Genomic DNA, 26,623 nt, shown 5'->3' on the forward strand with positions numbered 1-26,623 from the left:
TCGTGAGTTTGTCTACTTTTGATCTTTGAGGCTGCTAACCCTTGAATGGGGTTTTTCTGTGGACTTTTTTGTTGTTGTTGTTGATGCTCCTGTTGTTGCATTGTTTGTTTGTTTGTTTCAATATTCAGGTCCCTCCTCTGTAGGGTTTGCTGGGGCTTCTGTAAGGTTTGCTGGGTTTGCTGGGGGTTCACTTCAGGCCCTCTTCATCCGGTTCACTCCCATACCTGGAGATGTCACTCAACAAGGCTGGAGAACAGGAAAGATGGGTCCCTGCTCCTTCTCAGATCTTTGACTTTGAGGGGCGCCAACCTGATGCCCGTAGGATTGTTCCTGTATTGGGTATCTGCCAACCCCTGTTGGAGGGACTCACCCAGTTGGGTGGCACAGGGATGTGGACCCATTTAATGAAGCACTTTGTCCCTTGGTGGTGGGGTGTGCTTCACTGGGGGAAACCCGCTCATCTGGGCTGCCTGGATTCCTCAGAACTACGAGGAGGAAAGGCTAAGTCTGCTGGTCCGCAAAGACTGTGGCCATCCTTCCCGCTAGGGGCTCAGGCCCAGGGAGATCTAGGTTCTGTCCCTGACCCTCTGGCTGGAGTTACAGAGTTCCTGCAGGGGAACCCCACCCAGTGAGGAAGGATGGGTCAGAGTCAAGCCTGAAAAGGCACTCTGACCACAGTCTGCCACAGCCGGTGTGTTGGGCTGTGGGAGACATGTCTTCGTACCAAGCCTTCCAGCCTCCCTGGTCCCAGGAGGGGAAAAGTGCAGCCTGGAGCTATACAGAGGGATGCTGCCTTCTCCTGCCCAGGGAACTTAGCGTGTTAGGCAGTTGTGAGTCCCAGTGTTGTTTCATACGCCTCCCACAAGGAGCTCAAATGGCTTAGACAGCAGGCAACCGCAGCTATGGTGCTGGTTGCCCCTCCCCCTGGGAGCTTGGTAGGCTTAAGCAGATTCCAGCTGAGAGGCGGTTGACAATCTGTAGGGCTCTGGGGTTGGGATGCTAGCCCCAGTGGTGTGGTTTTGTGAGTGAGATCATCCAATCCATGGGTTGCACAGTTCTGTGGAAAAAGCACAGTTTCCCTTGCTGGGTAGCATGCTCATTCACTGCCTCCCTTCACTGGTGGGAGGGGGCTCCCCTGCCCCATGTGGCTCAGATGGGCCACTACACCACATTGTTCTTCCTTCCTCTCTGGATCACACTAGTCTCCTAGTCAGTTCTGATGAGAGAACCTGGATACCTTGGTTGCCAGTGAAGGATTCACATGCCTATTATAGTTCTTTTTAATGGGACCCTCTGAACGCCGCTGTTCTGTTTCTAGTCGGCCATCTTGGCCCTGCCCCCAATATGCATCTTTATCTACTTCCTCAATGGTATTACAGTACTTCACTTCTAATGTAAGACTTTTATAACTTTTATATTTCTGTCCTTTGTACTATTGTTCTTATAGATTTTACATCTACATCAAACCTGTCAAAACATTATTATTTTTTAATTGCCTATTAAGAAATTGAACAGTGAGAGGAAAATTTTTGTCACATGTGTGCTATTTACACTTCTTTTCTTTGTATAGATCTAAATTTTGATGTGATATCCTTTTTATTTTCTATTTGAAAAACTCTTTAACATATAGTACAGATTTGATGAAAATGGATTCTCTCATCTACTTTTTTTCTAGGTGAAAAATTTATTTTCTCCTTAATTTTGAAAGACATTTTCACTGGGTATAAAATTCCAGTTTGGCATTTTGTTTTTCTTTCAGCTATTTAAAAGTGTATTCCACTGTCATCTGGCTTTCATAGTTTCTGACAAGAAGTCTGTGACAATTCCAGAACTCTACCCTGAAAGAACAAGTTACCTTAGACTCTGAACTCTTATCTCTGTCTTCTCAACTCAGTGAAATTTCTGTACTTTACTTAGGATCCTGCCTTTTTCTCTGTAGTTTGGAATGCTCACCTTATTTTCTGTCTCATACATTCTAGTCCTTCACTGGCTGTTTGCTCTTGGATCAAAAGTGTTACTTCATATATTTAATCCAGTTTTTTGTTGTTGCAAAAATCAAGAGAGTAAATCTGGACCCTGTTACTGTATCATAGCTAGAATAACATGTTCTTTATTTCAGAAAGTTAAAAAATAAATATTCATTGAATCCACTAGGAACGACATTCCTTCTTTAGATGCTAGAATTATAAAAACATTAACTGTATAGGCTTGGTCTCTAGTGTCATGAAATTTGCATTCCATTGGAATCAGAAACATTTAATAACTGCAAATCAAAAAGGTAATTTAAGATAATAGAGAATCTGTGAAGACAGTACTGCAGGGTGGTATGATAGAGTAATGGGGGAAAGAGTATACTTTAAATAGGAAAAACATGAAATTGCTGAGGTGGTAATATTTGACTTTAGCCTTGTAATAAAAAACAGGAATTGACAGACTGTGGTCTGAGGGCCAGTGTCTGTTTTGTAAATAAGGTTTTATGGGAATACAGCCACAGTCATTCTTTTACATATTGTCTATAGCTGCTTTGTAACAATAATGGGAAAGTTGAGTAGTTGGACCATAAGCCTAAAATATTTACTATCTGGTCTTTTCAGAAAAAAATTGCCAATCCTTAACATAAAAGAAGCACACCACTTGCTGATTGAGCTGAGATCACCACTGACTACATTACTTATAAACCTGGTATATACTTTCTATCCTTATTCAACATAATCAACCACTTACTCCTTCTAGAAATCGTTTCTTCTTTTTCTTAGCTTGTCTGATACCATGTTCTTTTGTTTTATTTTCTAATCTCTGTAGCAACTTCTTCCTCAGCTTCTTTAGTCTAATAATTTTCCTGAATCTGATCTTTAGTGTTACAGTATATTAGGGCTAGGTTTCATGTCTGTCTTCTCCCTTTTTTTTTTCTTAAATAGCATCATGCACTCCTGTGTCTTCAATTACTGTCTATTTCCTCATGACTTCCAAATACATATCTCTAGCTAGGCCTGTCTTCTGAATTTTAAACCTATGTCTCCAACTATCTACATGACATTCATCAATCTAAATTCAATAGGTTATAAACAGAATTCATGATATCCTCTGAAAAAGCTGCTTTACCTTTATATTTCTCTCTTTCAGTAAATGGCATCTATTGCTTATGTCAGTACTCTGGAATTCATCAGTGTAACCAATCAGTCATTAAGACCTTTCAAAATTCCCCCTTCTATGTATTTGATTGTTTATAGTTCTTTCTGTGCTTCTATATTCCTAGTCCAAGCTGCCTTTCCATGACCTCTGTGGTAACTTCCTGTTTGTCTCCACATATCCATTCTCAAAGTGGTTCATTGGACACCATAGCCAGAGTTACTGTAAATGAAAATCAGTGGCTTCCCAGTGTTTTTAGGATAAAGATCAAAGTCTTTTCCATGGTTTATAGAGTCCACTGAAGAAACTGTCCTCCCTAGCTTTATGCTATACCATTTTCCTTTTTCTAGGTAATCTGGCATTCTTTTACTTCCTCAATTCTCCAAATGTTTTATTAGGGTCTTTGCATGTATTGTTTCTTTCTTGCATGGAATGGCTGTTTTCTTTCTTCTTTGCTTACTTAATTCCTGTTTTCTCTAGGCAGCCTTCCCTCACCCTCACTCCCTCCTCTTAGGTTCTCATATTATTTTGTCCTTAGTCCTTTTTTTTTTCTTTTTTTCTTTTTTTTTTGAGACAGAATATCACTGTTACCCAGGCTGGAGTGCAGTGATGTGATCGTAGCTCACTGCAGCCCTGAATTCCTGAGTTTAAGCAATTCTCTGTGCCAAAGCCTCCCAAGTAGCTGGGACTACAGGTACATGCCCAAGTAATTGTTGTTGTTGTTGTTTTCAGTACATTTTTTTGTAAAGACAAGATCTTGCTATGTTGTCCAGCCATGTCTTGAACTCCTAGCCTCAAGTGATCCTCCTGCCTCGGTCTCCCAATGTTCTGGGATTGCAGACATGAGCCACTGTGCCCAGCCTATCCTTAGTCTTAAGTGCACTTATTACATCTGTGATTAATCACAACTATAATTAATGTAATTATTTGTCTTCCTCACAAAACTGTAAACTCCATAACAGAAGGCTTTGTGTCTGTGTTGTTCGCCATTGCATCGACAGCACCAAGCACATTTTCTGATACTAAATATTTGTGAAATGAAATAATAAAGGAGTATATTATGTCTTTTAATTATCACAAAACCCCTGTAATTTATTATTTCTCTTTGGGAGGCTTTTAAATTGCTTGGGAGAAATTTGGTAAAGAATAATTGTAATAGCTGCCATTTATTGAGAAACTCCCATGTGCTTGCTGTTCACTAGGCTACATACACAATCTTATTTTAACCCTTACAACACCCTTACAATGTAGTTAATTTTATTCCCATTTTTATGTGGGGAAACAGGCTCAGAGAAGGTATTTCACTTGCTCAGTGTACACAGTTAGTGACAGAGCCGTGATTCAAACCTAATTGATCTTTCTCTATATGCTCTTATACTCTACCACTGTATGTTGCGCCTTCTAACCAGATAGTTACTGCGAAAACTCCTGCAATTTCTAATTTTATCACAAGGCTCCCACTATATTTTCCCCCTTTTCATTCCTTTAACAGAAGAGTTTAAAGTTAGTATCTAGACATACCAGCTTATATATTCATTAATTAATAATTTATATTCACACAATGATTGTAGAAATGTGAGTGTTTCTTAGATTACCAAACATCTGTGAAATCGTGAAGGAGTATTGAAATTTAGTAATTTGGTTTGGATCTTTGAAGATATTCTGTAGAATTGTTTTCCAAAAGTTACAACTGGTTTACAATTTTTTTCTTAATTGCCATTAACAAGTTTTGACCCTGAGATGAGAAATTATTCACAAATTTCAATTAAATACTGGAATGCTTCATATTTTCTGTACTTTAGGACAGGGATCCCCAACCCCCAGGCCACAGGTTGGTACTGGTTTGTGACCTGTTAGGACCTGGACTACATGGCAGGAGGTGAGCGGTGCGTGAGAAACATTACTGCCTGAGCTCCACCTCCTGTCAGCGACAGCATTAGATTCTCATAGGAGGACGGACCTTATTGGGAACACACACAAGAGATCTAGGTTGCGGACTCCTCATGAGACTCTAATGCCTATGATCTGAGGTGGGACAGTTTTATCCTGAAGCTCCCCCACTATCCGTCCAGGGAAAAATTTGGTCCCTTGTGCCAAAAACACTGGGGACCTCTGCTTTAGAACATGCAGTAAAACTTGAATGGATTGTTTAACAGATTGTTTCTTTAATGAATTTATCACATAAAATCAGGCATTGCTTTGAAAAAGTGCAGTTTATTTCACTCTGTTATTACTGCGTGGTTCCAGATTGTTAAAGATTCAGCTACTTTAAAGCAGTGTCTTAAAGAATTAATTTTTGTCCTTTCAGCATTGGCAGATTCATTTTTGTCATGGAACATCTTATCTCCTTATGATGCTTTTGAAGTATTAATATAGGTGGAATTACCTATGATAGTTTGGTGGAACTAAACTCTTTGTCACTTTTTCTATTTGTGAGATTTGCATATAGTATTGTAGCTTTTTTCTGAAATTTTTTGTTTTGCAACGTGCCTTCATAAGAAACTCATCGATTTGTATATTTAAAAAGAGGCTGTAAAGCATTTGAACTAGCCCCAGTAGGATCATATTATAATTAATAATAATAATAATATTAATGTCACCAGGGCTTGCATAACAATTCATAATAATTGTCTTTACACTTAAGTTTAACTACTAAACTTTGTAGCCTAATATAGTGATTTTTATCACAATGATAAACTTTTTTATTTACCTCTTGAACTGTATGTAAGAACAGAGACCAGTAGACCTAGTTTTTCCTGGTTATTTTGTAGAACGGGAATTGGGAACTGGAATTGAGGAAGTGATTTCAATTTCATGTAAATTTTTCTGCTATTAATTAGTTGGCCTATTAAATTTTTAGAGTAGCTATTGAACTTTTGCAACCAGTTTTATTTTGAGTACTTTATTAAAGTATCATCTGTTAGCTTTTCATATCATCTCACCATATTATCTTACTGAGGTAAAATGGAATTTTTTGCTTACTGATTTTTTACATAAGAATTAAGTGATACCCATACATACCAATAACATTGAAATTCCAGGCTTTCCCATGAAGGAAAACAGTTAAATTAATGCTAGATTTATAAGGCACTACAAAAAAAAGCACTAAATAAATTTTTAATTTAAAAATAAAAAATTAATAGTGTTGATGGGGGGTGGAATAGACATTGTAGAATCCTAATACTATTTAATGTTGTTCATATGTGTAAGAAAGACACATTATATTTTAAAATATAGATTCTAATATTGAAAGAAAAAAATCATCAGTTTTGGAGATGAAACGCATTTTTAGGAATCTTATATGGAAACTTCAATAAGGACATTTTTATACCAGTGGAAAACCTGATTGGAACACCTTAGAGACATATTAGGCACTGTTGTTTGGAATGCCAGATAAGTTAACCTCTGTAAGATATATATTCTTATAAATCACTGCTAGCATAGCTGTAATATGTGAAGATAATTTATTAATTTGGACTGATGCTGAATGTAGACATCTTCCATATCTAACCTTAAGCATTTAAAAAAATATTTTAGGACTAATTATTTTGTCCAAAAAAGCAATCTTTTGATTATTGATCTTCACAGAATTGATTTGTAAGATGTCATGATCAATTGTGGTTAGCATCTTTATTATTATATCCATTCCAAGATAATTTTAGGCTTTTGATACCTTGATACCTTTGTCTCTTCCAACTTTTGCAGAGACTTTCCTTGCTTGCATACAGAGAAGAGCTAGTAGCTAATGAAGAATGTGCAAACCTGCCTTTTTTCCCTCTCCTAAGAAAGGAGAATTCATCCACTGCCACTGTACCTTTTTTTTCTTTTCTTTTTTGTCTTGCACAGAAGACAGACATCTTCCTGTGAAGGGCTTGTGGCAAACCTATCCAACTCGGGTTTCTTCTTCCTTGAGAACGATCTGATTCATCATCATCTGAACCAGGGATCACAGTCTAAGGTCCAGGTGAGGGCAAGTCAGTCTATATGTTAAGCCAGTTCTTTTCTGGTCAGGTAAGTCATACTCAGGCATGAACTCACTCAGCATCAGTCAGCCTTAGTTTTTTAAAAGTTTCCTAGTCCCCAGAGAGATAATACAATTTATCTATTCATTTATTCTAGGATGCACCTAAACTATTGATGATTAATCACCTTATTAAATGATTCCATTCTGTGTATAATGTGATCATTTTCAACACACTTGTTCATCTTAAATTCCAGAACTCTTAAAAGGAGTATATGTGTGGGGTGAGAGGGAGAAAAATACTGAAACAGATAGGTATTTCTAGCTGCAATTTTAATACTTATCCTTATCTTCATTTTTATTTTATGCGTAAGAGTTTAGAACAACTTAAAATCAGCCTAGAATATATGATCTTATACCTTCGTAATTTTAATAACGTTTGATTATGTTTGTAGATGGCTTGGAACCAGAAGCTGATTGAGAATATTAGAGCTAACATTTGCACTCATGGTCATCACGGAGGTCTTTGTTGGCTTGCCATGAATTCTTTCCTTTAATGTCAAAATGACTAAGACAGAGACAAGAATTTTCCTGTTCTGTATCCCACTTCTATATGCTAGTAATAAGAAACTTCTGATTGTGCCTCAGGCAAGTGGTCATAGCTAATTGAAATCCAGTTTTGTACCTTGATGCTATCTTACAACTTGGGAAGTAAATTAGGTCTGTGGCTATGAGGCTATTTTCTGGACAAAATAGCCTCTTATTTTTCAAAAAAATTTTTTTATTTGAGGAAAAAAATCTACATGTATTCTGACATTTATAATCCTTCAAAATGCACTTGGGCATTATGTGAAATTTGTTTTATAGGTGGACATTTTAAGTAAATTAGTTTAAGTCTTACAAAACATTAATTTGTTTCATCATGATAATGACATTGTGTGCATTTGGTTGTGAAAAAAACAGAAGTAGTACTTTAATATACCTTGTCTCTGACTTTCACCCACACATAGCAGATATGAATAAATTGGGCATTTATTTCTCCTATTGGCTAATTTTCCAAGTGACTCTTAAGTTATGAACTGAAGTTAATATACTTCAGTGAGTTTGCTACAGTAATGACTCCTGGTCACTAGGAAGAAGAGAGATTGTCTTCCTCTGAAATTTTTCCAACCATTAAGGTAAATGGGTTGTAAGAATACTGTTGGCTTCTTGAGATACATTGTTTTGTGTTTATTATTCAAAAACATCTATACTAGTTTTGAGCAAGAGAACATTTCTTTGGCTGGAAAGGCAACTTTTTAAAGCATTCATTATTTGGAACCATGTTACTGTTGGAACCTAAATAAAGTAGTTATTTACTTGAGTCTATATTAGGACAACTAAGTTAGTATGGACTTAGAAATTGTTGGGTACAAACCCTGTGTTTCTATCTCGTTATGTTTGTGTAATATGTGCAGAAGAATCAAAATATTTATTGGGTGTTTTAAAATGTCTCCAGTGGTATCTCTCTTGAACAGAAAAGCCATTTATTTAATTCTGCTTCAGATTCTAGTAGAAAATTATTTCCCACTAGATCATAAGTGTTTTAAGATGATTAGGTTCCTGTATGTGCATTGTATGAGTATGTGAACATATCCTAACCCAATTTTATAAATATATAAAGTAATTTAAATATTTAGAAATCTCAACATTAAACCAAGAATGTCATCCACATTAAAGTGTGTATTAAATATTTGAATCTGTATTGTAATGAACTCAGTAGGCATGTTTCAAAGACTTAGGAAGTAGCACAGATTTCCATTATGCTCTTGGGCTGGGCAAGTCAATTACATCCTCAAAGGGTTGTAATTTTGTAGAAATTAGCAGACTACAAAGGATGCTTGATGGTTGTATCTGACTGGCTTTGGAAATGCTTACATTTCTAAGACTGTGAATTTTTAAATAATCTTTCCTACTTTTTTTCCTACTTTTATCCTTCTTGTATGTTTTTGTAACCAGTAGTTTTTTAGGTAGACACATATGTGAACTTTAAACATTTCCATATTTATAGTTAGTGTAATTATTACAACATCTGTTTCAATATATGAATGAACTAAAATTTGGAAACTTAAAAGATCAGTTTTTAGTCTTTAAAACATTAGAGCAGGATGAGCTCTTAATCATCTACACAAAGATTTACAGGCTTTAAATATGTAGATTTAGATTATCTGTGATAGCATTTTCATTCTATACCAGTTAATGCATTTCAGAGACATGTGGTGTGTGTATTAAGGGACATGCTAGCTGATTGTACCTTACTGTAAGCAAAACAAAATTATAAAAGCAGATTTGTTATGAAAAATAAGAAATCGATGATTTCCAAAATCAAAAATGTGACTTTCGGACTATTCTATGTGTTGTTGGATTGATCTGCCTTTTCTTACACAAGAGCATACTGCTGACCCCACCACAAGCTTTACCTGTTAAGTAAAATATGTTGTGTTTGGAATATAGCATAGCCTAGAGCCAGGCATTATGGAGATGATATGCTGAAATTGGGGTTTCTTTTCTTCATTCTCCCTTTCCAGTTAGGATTTGATTGCATTACTGTAATAAACATTAACATTGAAATCATGTTTTAAATTTCTTCATGTTCATTTTCTGGCCTCTGTAGGACACACACAGAAAAGACCAGTGAATGCCATTTCATCTAAGAAGCTCTTTAAATGCATCCAAGATGCCAGAAATAACCCTTTCATACCTCCTGAGTAGTAGCAACATGTAATGGTATAGGAAGAAATATTCCACCTAGCTTTTCTTTTGGTGGTGTCTTGCCATTAACTCATAAAAACGTATATCCTACTATTATCTCTACCATACCTTCATGTCATTGGTTAGATTGCCTGATGGCTACTAATGTCTCAAGTTAATAGCCACAGAATATTTCAGAAAGGTGGCGTCCACTTTATAAAATGTGTCTATGATTGCCAAAGTCTTATTTGGCTAGAAACAACTAAATTTAGTTGACCGAGTAAAATTGTATATTCTTAGAATATGTCACTTAAAACAAACAAATAGTGATTTACTTTCAGTTCTGAAAATATTTAGAAGGATTTGTTATCTCTTGCAGACCTTCCTGCAGACTACTAATGGGATGAACACAATATATCACTTTTATAATAGTGAGCTATTAAAGGCAAGCATAAAGCAGTCTGAAGCCCATAAGTGCTGCCAACAGCTCCTGCTTTAATGAATTCCCTTTTAGATGTCCATTAAATGCTCATGGCAAATGTACTCATAATGGAAATGGCAAATCTAAATGGGTAGATATGAATAATCCATGGAGTTTAAATTCTGTTTATGATCATCTTCACATTTAGTTTTCAAGACAACGCAGTTTAGTTTTCATTACAGTTTGGAATAAAGAGGACAGGGAGTAATTGATTGCTTCAAGCAGATTAAAATCAATGGTTTTCTTTTCAAAGAACCAGTTCAATGCAGTAATTCCAACTTTAAACATTGATTTAGAGGACTCAACACAAAATGTTTTGTGCTGTGTGAACTTTTATATAGGAAGACTAATATTAATTTTATTCCCCTGTATATCTGTATAGTGAAATATAGAGGTTGTTAGTAACATGTGCATGACTTAATAGTGATCTATATTAAGTCATTTTGATATTATTGCAGTCATATAATGAATCAGTGAGATTCCCGTCATCACTGTAATACTGTTTGTAACCCATTAGCACAGAGAAATTACAGCCCATCATACATCATTACTGTGATTGAGGCTTTATTACCATATTCTCAAATTGCTTGCTTGCTATAAAACTAAATAGACACAAGACAACTATAGGTAGAGTAGAGACTGCGCATTATTGTGCTACAGTAATGAGGGATTATTGTACCATAATGGGTTGAAACTTATGAGGAAAATAAACTTGGCAGTAATAGAAAACTGGAGACTCTTTTTACATTTGTTTTTATTACTTTAAAGGTCAAATATATTTGTTATGCTCAGGTTATTGTTTATGTATTACATGAATCATAGCCTTTTAATATTTTCTAAAGATTTTTTTCACCCCCACCCCCACCCCCAATTGTATCCTTTCAAAGTCTGTGGCCTGATGCACTTTGAATGCTTAGGACTGGACTTGGAATCTGTGTTTTTCCTGTTGTGAGATGAGACGTTTTACTGCTACTAAGCCTACCATTTCTGAGGGTAGGTAGAAAGCTTTAAACTTTAGGCTATTTTCAGCATACTATACATTTTGTTTACAGTGTGGATAGGCCAGTGGTCTTCACGCTCTTCAGTTGAAATAAATGTATTAATGCAGCAATATTCTAAGCAATGAATACAGATTTAAAATATGGAACTGTCTAGGGCCTGATTGTAAAAGACTTTTGATGTTTCAAAGATGAAAATAGAAAAAATATACTGCGTCCATATTAAAGAAGAAAATCCTACGACAGTAGAACTTACTGTAGTTATAACCTGGGACCATGCTGTCCTCTTTGGAAGAATATGTTGCCTATGTTGCCTTTTCTAACTTTAGAGGTTATTGTTGCTTTGGCTAAAAATTTATATGTAAAGTGTTTTATAATCATGAACATATGCTAATTTCTGGGTTTTGTTTTATATTATTATTTTTATTTATTTATTTAGTGTTATTTTTTAGAGACAGATCTCACTGTTGCCCAGGCTGGAGGGTAGTGGCACTATAATTAGAACTTATTAAATTGTGCATATGTTCATTCACTCTCTGTTGAGTCTTGTTTATGAGTTATAACATTGAGAGCATAATATGAACAGTGTAAAGCCCAGGGTACTGACTTTGGAGATAAGATTGCATGGATTTAAAGTTCTCAGTGCAGAGTGGTTTTCTGATCTCAATCTCATTGTGATTTGATACCACGACAATTTAAATATCAAACAATGACCCATCTGGGCAACATAGTGAGGCTCTGTCTCTGCTAAAAATAAAAATAAAATAAGAGCTGGGCATGGTGGCGCATTCCTGTAGTCTCAGCTTCTCAGGAGACTGAAACAGGAGGATCATTTGAGCCCAGGAGTTTGAGGCTCTAGTGAACCCTGATGGGGCCACTGCAGCCCAGCCTGGGCAAGAGTGAGACCTGTCTCTAAAAAATAATAATAAATGAATGAATAAATATCAAATAATATAAAATGAAAGCCAGAAATTAGCATATGTTCATGATTATGAAACACTTTATGTATAAATACTTTGCCAAAGCAATAGTAACCTCTTGTTAACTTAGAAAAGGCAACATATTCTTCCAAAGAGGACAGCTTGGTCCCAGGTTGTAATTACAAGCCACTTACACATTACTCTTAGGGTTATCATATGTAATTACCACCCCCTTTGTAAAGCATATATTTTATTTATAACACATACTGTAGTTGTAGTGGTATAAAACCTGAATGCTTGCTTACCAAAGAACTGCAATGAGACATGCTGCATAAAAGGAAAGCTTAGAATTGGCTGAGGGGACTATGCCTAAATGATGCCCCAGCCAACTCTACCTGGTATATTCTTCAATGAAGAAAACTGTAAAACATCCTAATCAACCAACTTCTTTCCATGCTTGCCAGAGTATATAGCCACTTTGAATTACATGAATGTTTTTGTGACTCGGTTCATTTCATCACTTCATGGGAGCACCTTCCATGTTAAAAACAGATGCAGTGCAAAAGCAGAAAGCCAGAAATAATAGTGAGAGGCAAAGTTAGAGAAATGTGCATATTAAATCTTTAAAATACTCTATGACTTTTTCCTGCCCAGCATCTTTTGGGGGAAAAAGAGAGAAGATGAATAAATTAAAGGTTTTTTTCTTTCTTTGTTTTTTTGAGACAAGGTCTCACTCTGTTTCCCAGGCTGGAGTGCAGTGTTGCCATCATGGCTCACGGCTCCTGGCAGCTTCAACCTCCAGGCTCAAGTGACCCTCCTGCCTCAGCCTCCTGAGAACTGGGACCATAGGCATGAGCCACCACAGGTTTGGTTTTTTTTTCTTAATAGGTTGGACATATGGCTATAAATAAAAAATAAGAAAATTAAAAAAGAGTAAGTGCTAAGAAGAAAAATAAAATGAAATTATAAGTATAAGAAATGCTAGATGGGGTTGTTATATATATGATTTTTTGTAGAAGGCCTTTCTGATAAGATGGCATTTAAGGAAAAATCTAAATAAAGTGCAGGACAAGCCAAGATATTTATCTATGGTAAAAAAATATCCCAGGAACAGTGAATGTAAGTGTTCTGAGAGAGAAGCATATTTGATATGTATGCAGAACAGCAAGACTGCTATGGCTCAGCAGATAAAGGGGGAAACATAAGAAATTAAACATGATACCTTAGTAATTTTTTAAATGAATTTAATAACATTAAAGTCTTTCTGTGTAGTTAGGTTTTTGCTATTAGAGAGGTGGTTCTAAGTCAAATGATGCTTCTAATATCTTTCTTAATATATTGGATATGACCTTGTTTTTTAAGTATTTAAATATGCTTGAACATGTTAACCCGATCATGTATCTTTTGTGGAGGTCTAGAGTTTTTTTTTGTTTTGTTTTTTAGGGTTTTTTTTTTTAATGATACAGGCTTTATTATCTTCCCCATTTTGCAGATGAGAACACTGAGGCATTTACCCAGTGGCTTATAAGCTGATAGGTGCTAAAGCCAGGAATCAAATTCAGAAAGTGTAGCCCAGATTCTGAACTTTTAGCCATTGTTTGCACTGTTTGTTTCTTTTTTTGTTTTTTTTTTTTTTTTTTTAAGTAATTTCAACTTTTATTTTAGATTCAGGATATGTGTGCAGGTTTGTTCCATGGGTATACTGTATAATGCTGAGGTTTGGGATACACTACAACCCGTTACCAAGGTAGAGAGCATAGTACCCAGTAGGTTTTCTTTTCTTTCTTTCTTTCTTTGAGACAGAGTCTTGCCCTCTTGCCAAGGCTGAAGTGCAGTGTTGTGATCTCAGCTTACTAAATCTCCACCTCCCAGTCTTAAGCAGTTCTTGTGCCTCAGCCTCCCAAGTAGCTGGGACTGTAGGTGTGTTCTTCCATGCCCAGCTAATTTTTGTATTTTTACAAAATACAACAAAATATTCAAGCTATTTTATTGGCCAAGCTGGTGTCGAACTCCTGGCCTCAAGTGGTCCAGCCACCTTGGCCTCCCAAAGTGCTAGGATTACAGGTGTGAGCCACCTCTGTGCCTCTCCCCAGTGTCTCTTGTTGCTGTCTTTATGTCCATGAGTACTCAATTTTTAGCTCCCACTTATAAGTGATAACATGCGATATTTGGTTTTCTTTTCCTGTGTTAATTCACTTAAGATAATGGCCTCCATCTGCATCCATGTTGCTGCAGAGGTCACAATTTCCTTCTTTTTTATGGTTGCATAGTAGTCTATGGTGTATATATGCTACTTTTTCCTTTTGTTCTTACAATTTTCTATCTTTTTCTTTATAATTTCAGCATTTATTTTTAGATGTCAGGGGTACATATGCAGGTTTATTACATGGGTATATTGCATGATGCTGAGGTTTGGAGTATGACTGAACCCATCACCCTGGAAGTGAGCATACTACCCATAGTTAGTTTTTCAACCCTTTCTCCCTCTAGCAGTCCGCTGTGTCTCTTGTTGCCATCTGTATGTCCGTGGGTACCCACTATTTAGCTACCACTTGCAAGTAATAACATGTGGTATTTGTTTTTCTGTTCCTGTGTTGATTTGTTTAGGATAATGGCCTCCAGCTGCATCCATGTTACTGCAGAGGACATGATTTCATTCTTTTTTATGGCTGTGTGGTATTCCATGGTGTATATGTACTATATTTTCTTTACCCAGTCCATCATTGATGAACATCTAGATTGATTCCACATCATTGCTATTGTGGATAGTGCTGCAGTGAACATATGAGTACATGTGTTTTTTTGATAGAACAATTCATTTTCTTTTGGATATATGCCCAGTAATAGGATTGCTGGGCCAAATGGTAGTTCTATTTCAAGTTCTTTGAGAAATCCCAAGGTACTTTCCACAGTAGCTGAATTAATACATGTTCCCCCCCAACAGTGTATAAGCGTTCCCTTATCTCTGCAGCTTTGCCAGCATCTATTGTTTTTTTTTCTTTTTTGACTTTTTAATAATAGCCATCCTGACTGGTATGCAATGGTATCTTACTGTAATTTTGATTTTCATTTCTCTGATGGTTAGTGATGTGGAGTATTGTTTCATGTGTTTGTTGGCTGCTTATATGTCTTCTTTTGAGAAGTGTTGATTCATGTCCTTTGCCCGCATTTTAATGGAGCTGTTTTTTGCTTGCTGAATTGTTTACATTTGTCATAAAGTTTGGATATTAGACTTCTGTTGTATGTATAGGTTTTTCTCTCATTCTGTAGATTGTCTATTTATTCTGTTGATAGTTTCTTTTGCTGTGCAGAAGCTCTATAGTTTCATTAGGTTCCATTTGTCAGTTGTTGTTTCTGTTACAATTGCTTATGAGGACATAAACATAAATTCTTTCCCATGACTGATGTCCAGAATGATGTTTCCTAGGTTTTCTTCTAGGATTCTTATAGTTTGAGGTCTTATATTAAAATCTGTTAATCGGTCGAGTTAATTTTTGTATATGGTATATACAGCTACATATAGCTAGCCAACTATCCCAGAACCACTTATTCAATAGGAAGTCCTTTCCCGATTGCTTAGTTTTGTTGACCTTGTTGAAGATCAGATGTCTGTAGGTGTGTAGCTTTACTTCTGGCTCCTCTATTCTGTTCCATTGGTCTATGCATCTGTTTTTGTACCATTAACATGCTGTTTTGGTTACTGTAGCCTTATAGTGTAGTTTGAAGTTGGGTAATGTGATGAATGCCTCCAGATTTGTTCTTTTTGTTCAGGATTGCTTTGGCTATTCAGGCTCTTTCTGTTCTGTATGAATTTTAGAATAGTTTTTTTTTACTTCTGTGAAAAAATGGCATGGTAGTTTGATAGGAATAGTGTTGAATCTATAGATTGCTTTGGACAGTGTGGCCATTTTAACAATATTGATTCCTCCAATCCATGAGCATGCAATGTTTCTCCATTTGTTTGTGTCATCTGATTTCTTTCAACAGTGTTTTGGAATTCTCCTTGTAGAAATCTTTACCTTTTTGTTTAGATGTATTCTTAGGTATTGTGTGTGTGTGTGTGTGTGTGTGTGTGTGTGTGCACGTGCACAGCAATTATAAATGTGATTTTATTCTTGATTTGTCTCTCAGCTTCAATATTATTGGTATATAGAAATGCTAGTAACTTTTTGTACATTAATTTTTGTATCCTGAAACTTTACTGAAGTTGTTTATCAGTTCTAGGAGCCTTTTGACAGACTTAAGGGTTTTTTTCAGGTATACAATCATATTGTTGGCCAAGAGAGATAGTTTGACTTCTTTTCCTATTTGCATGCCTTTTATTTCATTCTCTTGCCTGAATGCTGTGGCGAGGGCTTCCAGTACTATGTTGAATAGGGTGGTGAAAGTGGGCATCCTTGTCTTGTTCCAGTTCTCAAGGGGAATGCTTCCAGCTTTTGCCCATTCTGTATCATGTCGGGTATGGGTTTGTCATAGATGGCTTTTATTATTTTGAGGTATGATCCTTTGATGCCTAGTTTATTGAGGGTTTTTATCATAATGGTAAGTTGGATTTTATTGAAAGTTTTTTCCACATCTATTGAGATGGTTTTATTGAAAGTTTTTTCCACATCTATTGAGATGATTTGTTTACATGGTGAATCATATTTATTGATTTGCATATGTTGAACCAACTTTGCTTCCCAGGAATGAAGCTTACTTGTTCCTGGTGAATTAATTGTTGATGTGCTGCTGGATTCAGTTTGCTTGTATATTGTCGAGGATTTTTGTGTCTATGTTCATCATGGGTATTGACTTGTAGTTTTCTTTTTTCATTGTGTCTTTGCCAGGATGTACCACATTTTCTTTATCCATTCCACCATTTATGGGCACCTAGATTAATTCTATGTCTTTGCTTTTGTGAATAGTGCTGTGATGAACATGCAAGTGTATGTGTCTTTTTAGTAAAATGATTTCTTTTCTTTTGGTTATATACCCAGTAATGGGATTGCTAGGTCCAATGGTAGTTCTGATTTAAGTTCCTTGAGAAATCTCCAGACTGTGGAGACAGTGCCTGAACTAATTTATCTTCCTACCAACAGTGTGTAAGAGTTCCTTTTTCTCTATAGCCTTGCTAGCTTCTGTTGTTGGTTTTTTTTTTTTTTTTTTGCTTTTTAATAATAACTATTCTGACTGGTGTGACATGGTTTTGATTTGCTTCTCTCTGATGATTAGTGATGTTGAACATTTTTTTCATATCCTTGTTGCCACCTGTATGTCTTCTTCTGAAAAGTGTCTGTTCATGTCTTTTGTCTATTTTTTTTAATGAGATGTATTTGTTTTTGTTTTTTTGCTTATTGAATTAAGTTCCTAATAGATTCTGGATATTAGACCTTTGTTGGATGCATAGTTTACAAATATTTCCTCCCGGTTTATAGATTGTCTGTTTGTTGATGGTTACTTTTGCTGTGTAGAAACTCTTTAATTAGTTCCCATTTGTCAATATTTGTTTTGTTGATTTGATAGACTGCTAGCTAGACTAAGAAAGAAAAAAGAGAGAAGATCCAAATAAGTACAATCAGAAATGACAAAGGTGACATTACATCTGATCCCGGAAAAATACAAAGGATTCTCAGAGACTATTATGAACACCCCTGTTCACACAAACTTAGAAAATCTAGAGGAAATGGACTAATTCCTGGAAACAAAACCTTCCAAGTTTGAATCAGGAAGAAATTGAAGCCCCGAACAGACCAATATTGACATTTGAAATTGAATCAGTAATAAAAACCTACCAACCAATAAAAGCCGCAGATCAGATGGATTCACAGCCAAATTCTACCACATGTACATAGAAGAGCTGGTACAAACTCTACCGAAACTATTCCAAAAAATCGAGGAGGAAGTGCTCCTCCCTAACTCATTCCGTGAAGCCAGCATCAGCCTGGTACCAAAATCTGGCAAGGACACGACAAAAAAAACTACAGGCCAGTATCTCTGATGAACGTGGACAAAAAAAATCCCCCCAAAAATACTAGCAATCCACATCTAGCATCATATCAAAACGTTAGTTCACCATAATCAAGTAGACTTCATTCCTGGGATGCAAGGTTGTTTCAACATAATGCAAATCAATAAATGTGATTCACCACTTAAACAGAATGAAAAACCATATAATCATTTCAATAGATGGGGAAAAAGCTTTTGATTTTTGTTCTTGATAAGATATGACAGAAAGTCTCAGAGTCAGAGCCAGGGACTTTCTTAAATAATTTTAGAGCTTTTAGTTGCAAAATGTCTTTGTTTTTACTGCTGGCATAAATAGGTTTTCCATTTATTTCTAGCACTCAGTAAAAACATATTATTTAATTTACTGGCTCTTCCAATGTAGTATATGAGTCTGCTAAAGTTTGTGAAGTCTTGTTCGTTTATTTATTTAGGTTGCTGACAAGTGGAAATAGGTGAGATATGAAGTTTTGGGGATTTTAATCCTGTAGAAGGGGTCCTTGAATTGAAAAAAAGTTTTGAGAACCAGTTGCCTTCTTCCCAGGGAGAAGATGGAGCAGAGGTCCCAAACATGGTAAAACTGAGGTAGAAAAGAAGACCTTAGGAGAAGCTTGAGGTTCAAAGAGAGGGAATAAGTTAAAAATGTAAAAAGTTAACTTTTGAAACAGAGAAGAGGAAACTAGTGAAGAAGGAATTCTTCCTCGCTGCATTCTGCATTAGTTATCTATTGCCGCAGAACAAATTACCCCTAAACTTAGAAGTTTTAGGAAAAATCATATTCTATTTCACAGACTTCCTGAGGCACAGGAATTTCGGAATGGCTTAGCTGAGTAATTCTCACTTAAGGTCTTTTATGAGGTTTCAGTCGAAATGTTGATCCAGGGCTGAAAATTCTGAAAACTTGACTGGGGTTGGAAGGTCAGCTTGCAGAATGGCTTGCTCACGTAACTGTTAACAGAAGGCCTCATCAGTTCTAGCCTGTTGTTGACAGGAGGCCTCACCTCCTTGCCACATGAAGCCCTCCATAGGGCTGCTTGATTGTCCCCATGATATGGCAGCTAATTTCCCCAAAGTGAGTGATGCAAGAGAGAGGGTGGGAAAGCTACTGTAAAAATTGGGGGTCATGTTATTAATTATTTGTTATTTATTTATTATTACTATTAAGCAGTAATTGATAGCACTCATTTTCTTCATTTATATTGTGATTCCTCATTGTTTTTGATCATCTCAGGGCACAAAATAACAATCTCCCAAAACAAAGAAACCAAGCTACCACCACCAACTTGTGATAAATACAAAATATACATAATTTATGTATTTTGAAGGAAGTCCTGTAATATCCTAGTTGAAATTATTTCTTGAAGTACAGTCACACATCACTTAACAACAAGAGTATGTTCTAAGAAATGTCCTTTTAGGCAATTTTGTTGTTGTGGAAACGTCAGGAACTGTTCTTACACAAACCTGGATGGTATAGCCTACTACACACCTAGGCTGCGTGGTATAGCCTATTGCTCCTAGGCTACAAACCTGTACAGCATGTTACTATACTGAATACTGTAAACAATTGTAACACAATGGTAAGTACTTATGTATCTAATCATAGAAAAGGCACAGTAAAAAATACACTTTTTTTTAAATTTAATATTATTTTAAGTTCTGGGATACATGTGCAAGATGTACAGGTTTGTTACAGAGGTAAATGTGTGCGATGGTGGTTTGCTGCACCTATCAACCCATCACCTAGGTATTAAGTCCCACATGCATTAGCTATTTATCCTGATGCTCTCCCTCCCACTGCACCCCCGACAGGCCCTGGTATGCATCGTTCTCCTCCCTGTGTCCATGTGTTCTCATTATTCTGCTCCCACTTATAAGTGAGAATATGTGGTGTTTAGTCTTCTGTACCTGTGTTAGTTTGCTGAGGATAATGGCTTCCAGCTCTATCCATGTCCCTGCAAAGGACATGATCTCATTCTTTTTCATGGCTACATAGTATTCTATGATATATATGTACCACATTTTCTTTATCCAGTCTATCATTGATGGGCATTAGGGTTGATTCCATGTCTTTGCTATTGAAAAATACACTTATATTTTTCATAGATCCTAGGCCTATACAGGGTCAGGATCAGCAAGACACAACTAACTATAAAAATTCCTATCATGTAGTTAGGATAGGACCTAACTATATAGTTATATATAGTTAACTATATAGGAACTAACAATATAATTAGGTCCTATCCTAACCATATGATAGGAATTTTTCAACTCCATGTAATCCTAAGGGATCACCATCTTAGATGCAGCCAATTGTTGACCAACATGTCATTATATAGTGCATGGCTTTTGTACGTCATGGCTACATTTAAATATGCTTGTTTTCAGTGTTAGGGAAATATATGTGGTGAAAGAGATGATTAATTAATGCTGGTGTGTTGTTTGCATCAAAGAGGAAATTTTCCTTTTACTTATATTTTGAGGATGATTGGGAACATCAAGAATAGATTTATATTACAGTAGCACTCACATTTGAATCATCTTTGGATTAAAAGGTTCTAACTAGTGTCCTTTTTGCATTGCTTTTCTTAATTATAACTATAAATCAAAAACATGTAAAACTATAGTGTGCCAAATGTTTTCTAAGACCCATTTAATGATTGTAATAACCCACTCTAGGGGGGGTCATCATCTTTTTGTCAGGACAATCAGGTTTACGGATAGGCTCCTACTCTTAAATTTGTGCTTTGTACAGAGGGAGTATATATTACAGACACTTGGATAAATCATTTCATAAAGTATTTTCTGCAGTATCTTCTAAAATATAAAGTAATTTGATTAAAAATAAATAAGATTGTACTTAGTGGGCACAAAAGTGGATGAATATGGGATAACTTCAGAAAAAAGAGATATAGCTGATGGTGTGTATTGATTGATGACTACTTTCCTGTACTTAAACAGTTTATACTGTGCAAATATTGACCTGTATCAAGTGACTGACTACAGTATTTTCATGCAGATATTCCTTGAATTACTTTTGTAATCAGTAATTCTTTTTGAGACAAATATGTAAAATGAAGTATTCTTCTTTAAGAAAACCTAGGATCTTTTTATTTTTATTTAAAATATTTTATTCCGAAGATTCCAGGAACATACATAGGATAAAATAGTGGTTTCAAACTGGTTTACAATCAGTGGAACTGTTTCTTCAAATGAAATTTTACATAGAAGCAAATGGCTCAGACTGAAATGAGGATGTGGGGTTGCAAGAAGCCAGATGTTCCAATGGTTCAGTTCTTACTCTCTCTGTGGTGCCCTTGGGGTGTCTCTCTGGCATCCTAAGCCTCTAAGGAGTGCATTTTGAGAACTGTGGACATATGTAGGAATTTGTAATTCATAGGCCATATGCCATTCATTTGGGTGTTAGATGACACTGCCTCAGTGTCATTGTTAGATCACATAGGCTAGCCAACAGTAAACAGGAATATATTTATTGCATATAAAAGTTATTATTAGTGAACATGTTTGTCTAATTGACACTGATAATTAGATGTGTGATGTGGGGTCAGACACTTCCAATTCTCAATTTCTTTATATGTATGTAACTAGAGGGAGTTGGACTAGGGTAAGCAGAAGCTCCTGGCACCTGCCATTCTATGGTTCTGATAATATTTATTGACCTTCAATGAAGAGTCTAGAACTTTTCTGCTATGAGATAAAGAAAAAGTCTTAAGCCATGGTTTGGAACTCTAAGAGATTTAAACTCAGATTGGTGAGATAAAACTAGCCAACATGAAACTATTAGAGACAATCTATCAAAGTATTAATAAATTGTTTTGCACTATAAGATCTAAACTTATACAGAGGCAAATAGAAAGGATCTATTTTAAAATCCTTACATTTAAAATAAAAGTGCCTGTTTGACATTTCATCTAATTTGGTGAACTGGCAAATTACACACACATGTATTTCCTACTAAGAACTAGAAATCAATCCTGTTGCACTATTATGATCTTAAATATGATCTCCTAAACGTGTAGAAAGGTATTAGTTGCTTTCTTTCCCCTGGTGCCTATGAGTATTAATATATATTACATTTTAATTTTAATGCCCCCGGTGAAATCTGTATTCTTAAAGAACTAGAAATCTGAATTTTTCAGCTTTAACAGATTGTATTGTTTATGAGTACAAATTAATTTTTTTTCACAAGGCTTTTCTTAAAATGAATTTTAATATAACATTAAAGTCATATATATTTCAGCATATTAAAGAATAAGGAAGAATTTTTTATGTTGGAAACTTATTTTACCTTATTAGCAATTTTAATTCATTAAGCCTTATTTTTGCTTTTGTAATAATAACATTTTTTCAAACCATCTTAAATTTTGTAGAGAATTTTAATTTATTTGATCTTTGACTATAATATTCAAATTGGTTTTGCTTTGCTCACAAAGGTAAAGAGAATTCCAAATTTACTCATAATAAAAATATTAGAGAAACTGTCAATAAATTTACTGTTATAATTGAATCACATGATATCTAAATTGTTGATAATATGATCTGCTCGTTAAACAATAGTGTCTGGAGAAAATGATGGATTAATTGACTGATGGCTAAAGTTTCCCTCAAATATAATGGTTTACCCAGTTTGATTTGATTTGTGTAAAATAACTTTCTCTAATAAACAATTTGCTCAGAGGCAATAGAAGAAATGAATGGTTATCAAACCAAACTTAATTAGTCTATCCTAGATTGATATTACTTGGGGAGTCTTTGTTTTAATTGTGGAGTGCTGGATACAAAGAGTTTGGTTCATTATTTTTTCCTGTATAAACACTATTGTGTAACTACCTATGGAATAATAACATGTGAATTCATTTTAATAAATGCTTGTAAAGTGAATTAGCTAATTATACCAGGCTAAAAATGATTCCTTTAATTATTTTGGATATTTAACTGGTACTTCAGTTTTATTATTGTTTGTCTGTAAATGTGATTTGTATTAGCTCTGCCAAACTAATTATAATGTATAACTTAACAAACAATTTGAGCAGTTTTGTAATGCTTATATTGTTCTCTTCTCTTATGCAAAAGAAAACATTATTTCTAGTTTGCATGAAAATAAAGGTTTGATACAAATTCACATGGAAATATATGTGTAAATAGAGAAGAAAAACCTCTCAATATGCAAGGTAGTACTTGATATAACTATATGAATGAGAAGAATGAACAGATTTCCTTCAGGAGAAGATAAGCCAGTGACTCATTAGTTTAACTTAAAATATGATATAGCATAAGAGATTTGATTGTTATTTTAAAGCTGGAAAGATGAGTTTTCTTCATGCCCTATCTAGAGAGTGAAAAACTCGATCCTCATTCTCAAAAAGAAAGATTTATAGTAATAATGTATTGTGGATGTCAAAAACAATATGCTTCTTAATCACTTTTACTTAACAGACTAATTGTCTTTAAATCAGAAATAAATGAGAACAAAGGCTTTAGTAATAAAAAATACAGATTCCAAGTTTAGGCTTTCTAGGGGAAAAGCAAAATAGCCTCTAAAACAGTATGCAATGTAAATCATTCTTCTTTTAAAAATTAATATACAGTAAAATTCACATTTCCATCTTTTCTGGTGTACAGTTCTGTTTTAACCCAAGTATATATTCATGTAACCACTATCACAGTCAGGATACAGAGTAGTTCTGTCCCCTGAGATAAATAAATAAACAAACAAATAAATAAATAAAGCCTCCCTCATGGTGTCACATCTTCCCTCTGTCCCTAACACTTGGGATCCACTGATCTGTTCCCATTCACTACTGTTTTGCCTTATTCCAGAATGTTATGTAAATGGAATCCTATAAAACTTGACCTTTTAAAACTGGTTTCTTTCACTCAGCACAATTCCTTTGAGAATCCTCCATGTTTTTACAATACAGTTTGTTTTCTGTCTCCTTCTTCCCAAATTATAGCAACACTAATATCAGTTTTTGAAGTAAATATAAATTATCTGCCCCATATGGAAACTTATTTTCTCCATCATAGGATCCCTAAAAGAACTGGAACTTGATTTTTTACCCTATTCATGCCTATAGTTCTGCCTTTTTTTTTTTTTTTTTTGAGCTGGAGTCTCACTCTGTCACCAGGCTGGAATGAGTGCAGTGGCATGATCTCGGCTGACTGCAACCTCTGCCTCCTGGGTTCAAGCGATTCTCCTGCCTCAGCCTCCCGAGTAGCTGGGACTACAGGCACGCTCCACCACGTCCAGCTAATTTTTTGTGTTTTTAGTAGAGACACGGTTTCACCATGTTGGGCAGGATGGTCTTGATGTCTTGACCTCGTGATCTGCCTGCCTCAGCCTCCCAAAGTGCTGGGATTACAGGATGAGCCACCGTGCCCGGCCAGTTCTGCCTTTTTAATGGCTGCATTGTAATTTTATGAATGTACCATACTTGGTTTAAGCTGTCTCCAACATAGATACTTAGATATATTTTTTTAAATTATCTTCAGTGCTACAGTAAACATGCTTATACAGCATATGATATGTAAGAATAGCTGCCTTCAATTTCTAGAAAAGCAGTTGCTGGATGAAAAAAAAATACACAAAATTATATGGTTGGATGGATTGCAATTTGCCTTCCAAGAAGATTGAAGCAGTTTGAACCTCACTCCATTATCTTGCCATCAATGTCATTTGTAATCTTTGCAAGTCTAGTAGATAGAAACTGTCTTACTCTAATTTATATTTCATTAAATATTAGGACATTTAAACTCAGTATTCTGAATATATTATTTCTGTCCAATTTGAGCAGTTTCAGCACAATCTTAATTTTTATAAATCTCAAGTTTGTCATTTTATTTTTGCCATTTTAATGGGATTGTAGGGCATCTCATTGTAGTTTTATTTTGCCTTTTTTTTTTTTTTTTTTTTGAGATGGAGTTTTGCTCTTGTTGCCCAGGCTGGAGTGCAATGGCACAGTCTCAACTCACTGCATCCTCTGCCTCCAGGGTTCAGGTGATTCTCCTGCTTCACTTCCCGAGTAGCTGGAATTACAGGTGCCCACCACCACACCCAGCTAATTATTTGTATTTTTAGTAAAGATGGGGTTTCACCATGTTGGCCAGACTGGTCTTGAACTCCTGACCTCATGTGATCCACCCACCTCGGCACCCCAAAGTGTTGGGATTACAGGTGTGAGCCACTGCACTTGGCCTTATTTTGCATTTTCTTAATGGGTAATGATGTTGAACGGTTTTTTTTTCCACAAACTTAATTGCCTCCATATATCCTCTTTGGAAAAGTATCTTTTCAAGTCTTAACCCTTTTTTTTTTGTTTTGTTTTTTTTTTTTGAGATGGAGTCTCACTCTGTCGCCCAGGCTGGAGTGCAGTGGTGCGATCTCAGCTCACTGCAACCTCCCTCCACCTCCCGGGTTCAAGAGATTGTTCTGCCTCAGCCTCCTGAGTAGCTGGGATTACAGGCGCATGCCACCACATCAGCTAATTTTTGTATTTTTAGTAGAGACAGGGTTTCACCATGTTGGGCAGGCTGGTCTTCAACTCCTGACCTCATGATCCGCCTGCCTCAGCCTCCCAAGTCTTACCCATTTTTTAAGTTAGCTCATTTGTTTTCTTGCTATTGAGTTTTGAGAATACTTTATATATAGATTTTGACTACAAGTTCTTTGTTGGATATGTGATTTGCACATTTTTTTCCTCTAAGTATGTAGCTTGTTTTTTTCATTCTGAAGTATCCATTAAATAGCAAAAGTTTTTATTTTGGCAGAGTCTAATTATTACATTTTTATGGATCACGCTTTTGATATCATATCTGAGAAATCTTTGACTAATTCTGGTTCACAAATATTTTCTCCTAAAAGTGATAGAATTTTATACAAGTCTTTTGGGCTATCTTTTTTCCTTTTGCTTTAACTGACTTGCATCTTTACATTTAATGTGAGTTTCTGATAGATTTTTTTGTTTTTTAATTGAGATAGAGTCTCATCCTGGAGTGCGATGACACAATCATGGTTCACTGCAGCCTTGATCTCTTGGGTTCAAGTGATCTTCTCACCTCAGCTTCCCACGTAGCTGGGACCACAGGTGCACTACACACCCAACTAACTTTTTTATTTTTTGTAGAGACATCTTCTTTCTCTGTTGCCCTGGCTGGTCTCAAACTCCTGGACTCAAGTGATCCTCCTATCTCAGTCTTTCAAAGTGCTGGAATTATAGGTGTGACCCAGGATGCCTAGCCCAAAAGCATATCTTTAGGTCTTGTTTTTAATCTGTTCACACAATCTGTCTTTCAACTGCTGTGTTTATATCATTTGCAGTTAATTATTACTGATGCTTGGATGTAGATCTACCCTTTTCTTTTTTTTTTAACTTTTAGGTTCAGGGGTACATGTGCAGGT

General features: G+C 35.7%; 1 protein-coding gene across 19 annotated transcripts in view, besides 2 other annotated features; it reads left to right on the forward strand.

Annotated features, from left to right (window-relative positions):
- The window catches only part of RANBP17 (RAN binding protein 17), a 437,998-nt gene that overhangs the window by 159,879 nt on the left and 251,496 nt on the right, over positions 1 to 26,623 (forward strand). For 2 of the 19 annotated variants that reach the window (XR_941108.3, XR_007058630.1), the window contains 2 exons: positions 6,976 to 7,093; positions 7,546 to 11,030. The exons of 16 other annotated variants lie outside the window; for them this stretch is intronic. Coding sequence is in view for 1 of the 3 variants with exons in the window: in XM_011534637.3 (XP_011532939.1) it covers positions 2,595 to 2,615 (21 nt within the window). In the remaining 2 variants the exon portion in view is untranslated. Of the gene's footprint in view, positions 1 to 2,594; positions 2,670 to 6,975; positions 7,094 to 7,545; positions 11,031 to 26,623 lie in introns of those variants that run through there. One more of the 19 variants, XM_011534637.3, reaches the window with a different exon arrangement.
- Positions 9,892 to 11,197: an enhancer, noted in NCBI's record as "VISTA enhancer hs608". NCBI's record gives its function as "enhancer in: neural tube[7/9] | dorsal root ganglion[7/9]" and the evidence as "EXISTENCE:transgenic organism evidence [ECO:0001131][PMID:17130149]".
- Positions 22,353 to 23,470: an enhancer, noted in NCBI's record as "VISTA enhancer hs693". NCBI's record gives its function as "enhancer in: dorsal root ganglion[5/8] | trigeminal V (ganglion, cranial)[5/8]" and the evidence as "EXISTENCE:transgenic organism evidence [ECO:0001131][PMID:17130149]".

This window comes from Homo sapiens, chromosome 5, assembly GCF_000001405.40.
Source record: "Homo sapiens chromosome 5, GRCh38.p14 Primary Assembly".
NCBI lineage: Eukaryota > Metazoa > Chordata > Mammalia > Primates > Hominidae > Homo > Homo sapiens.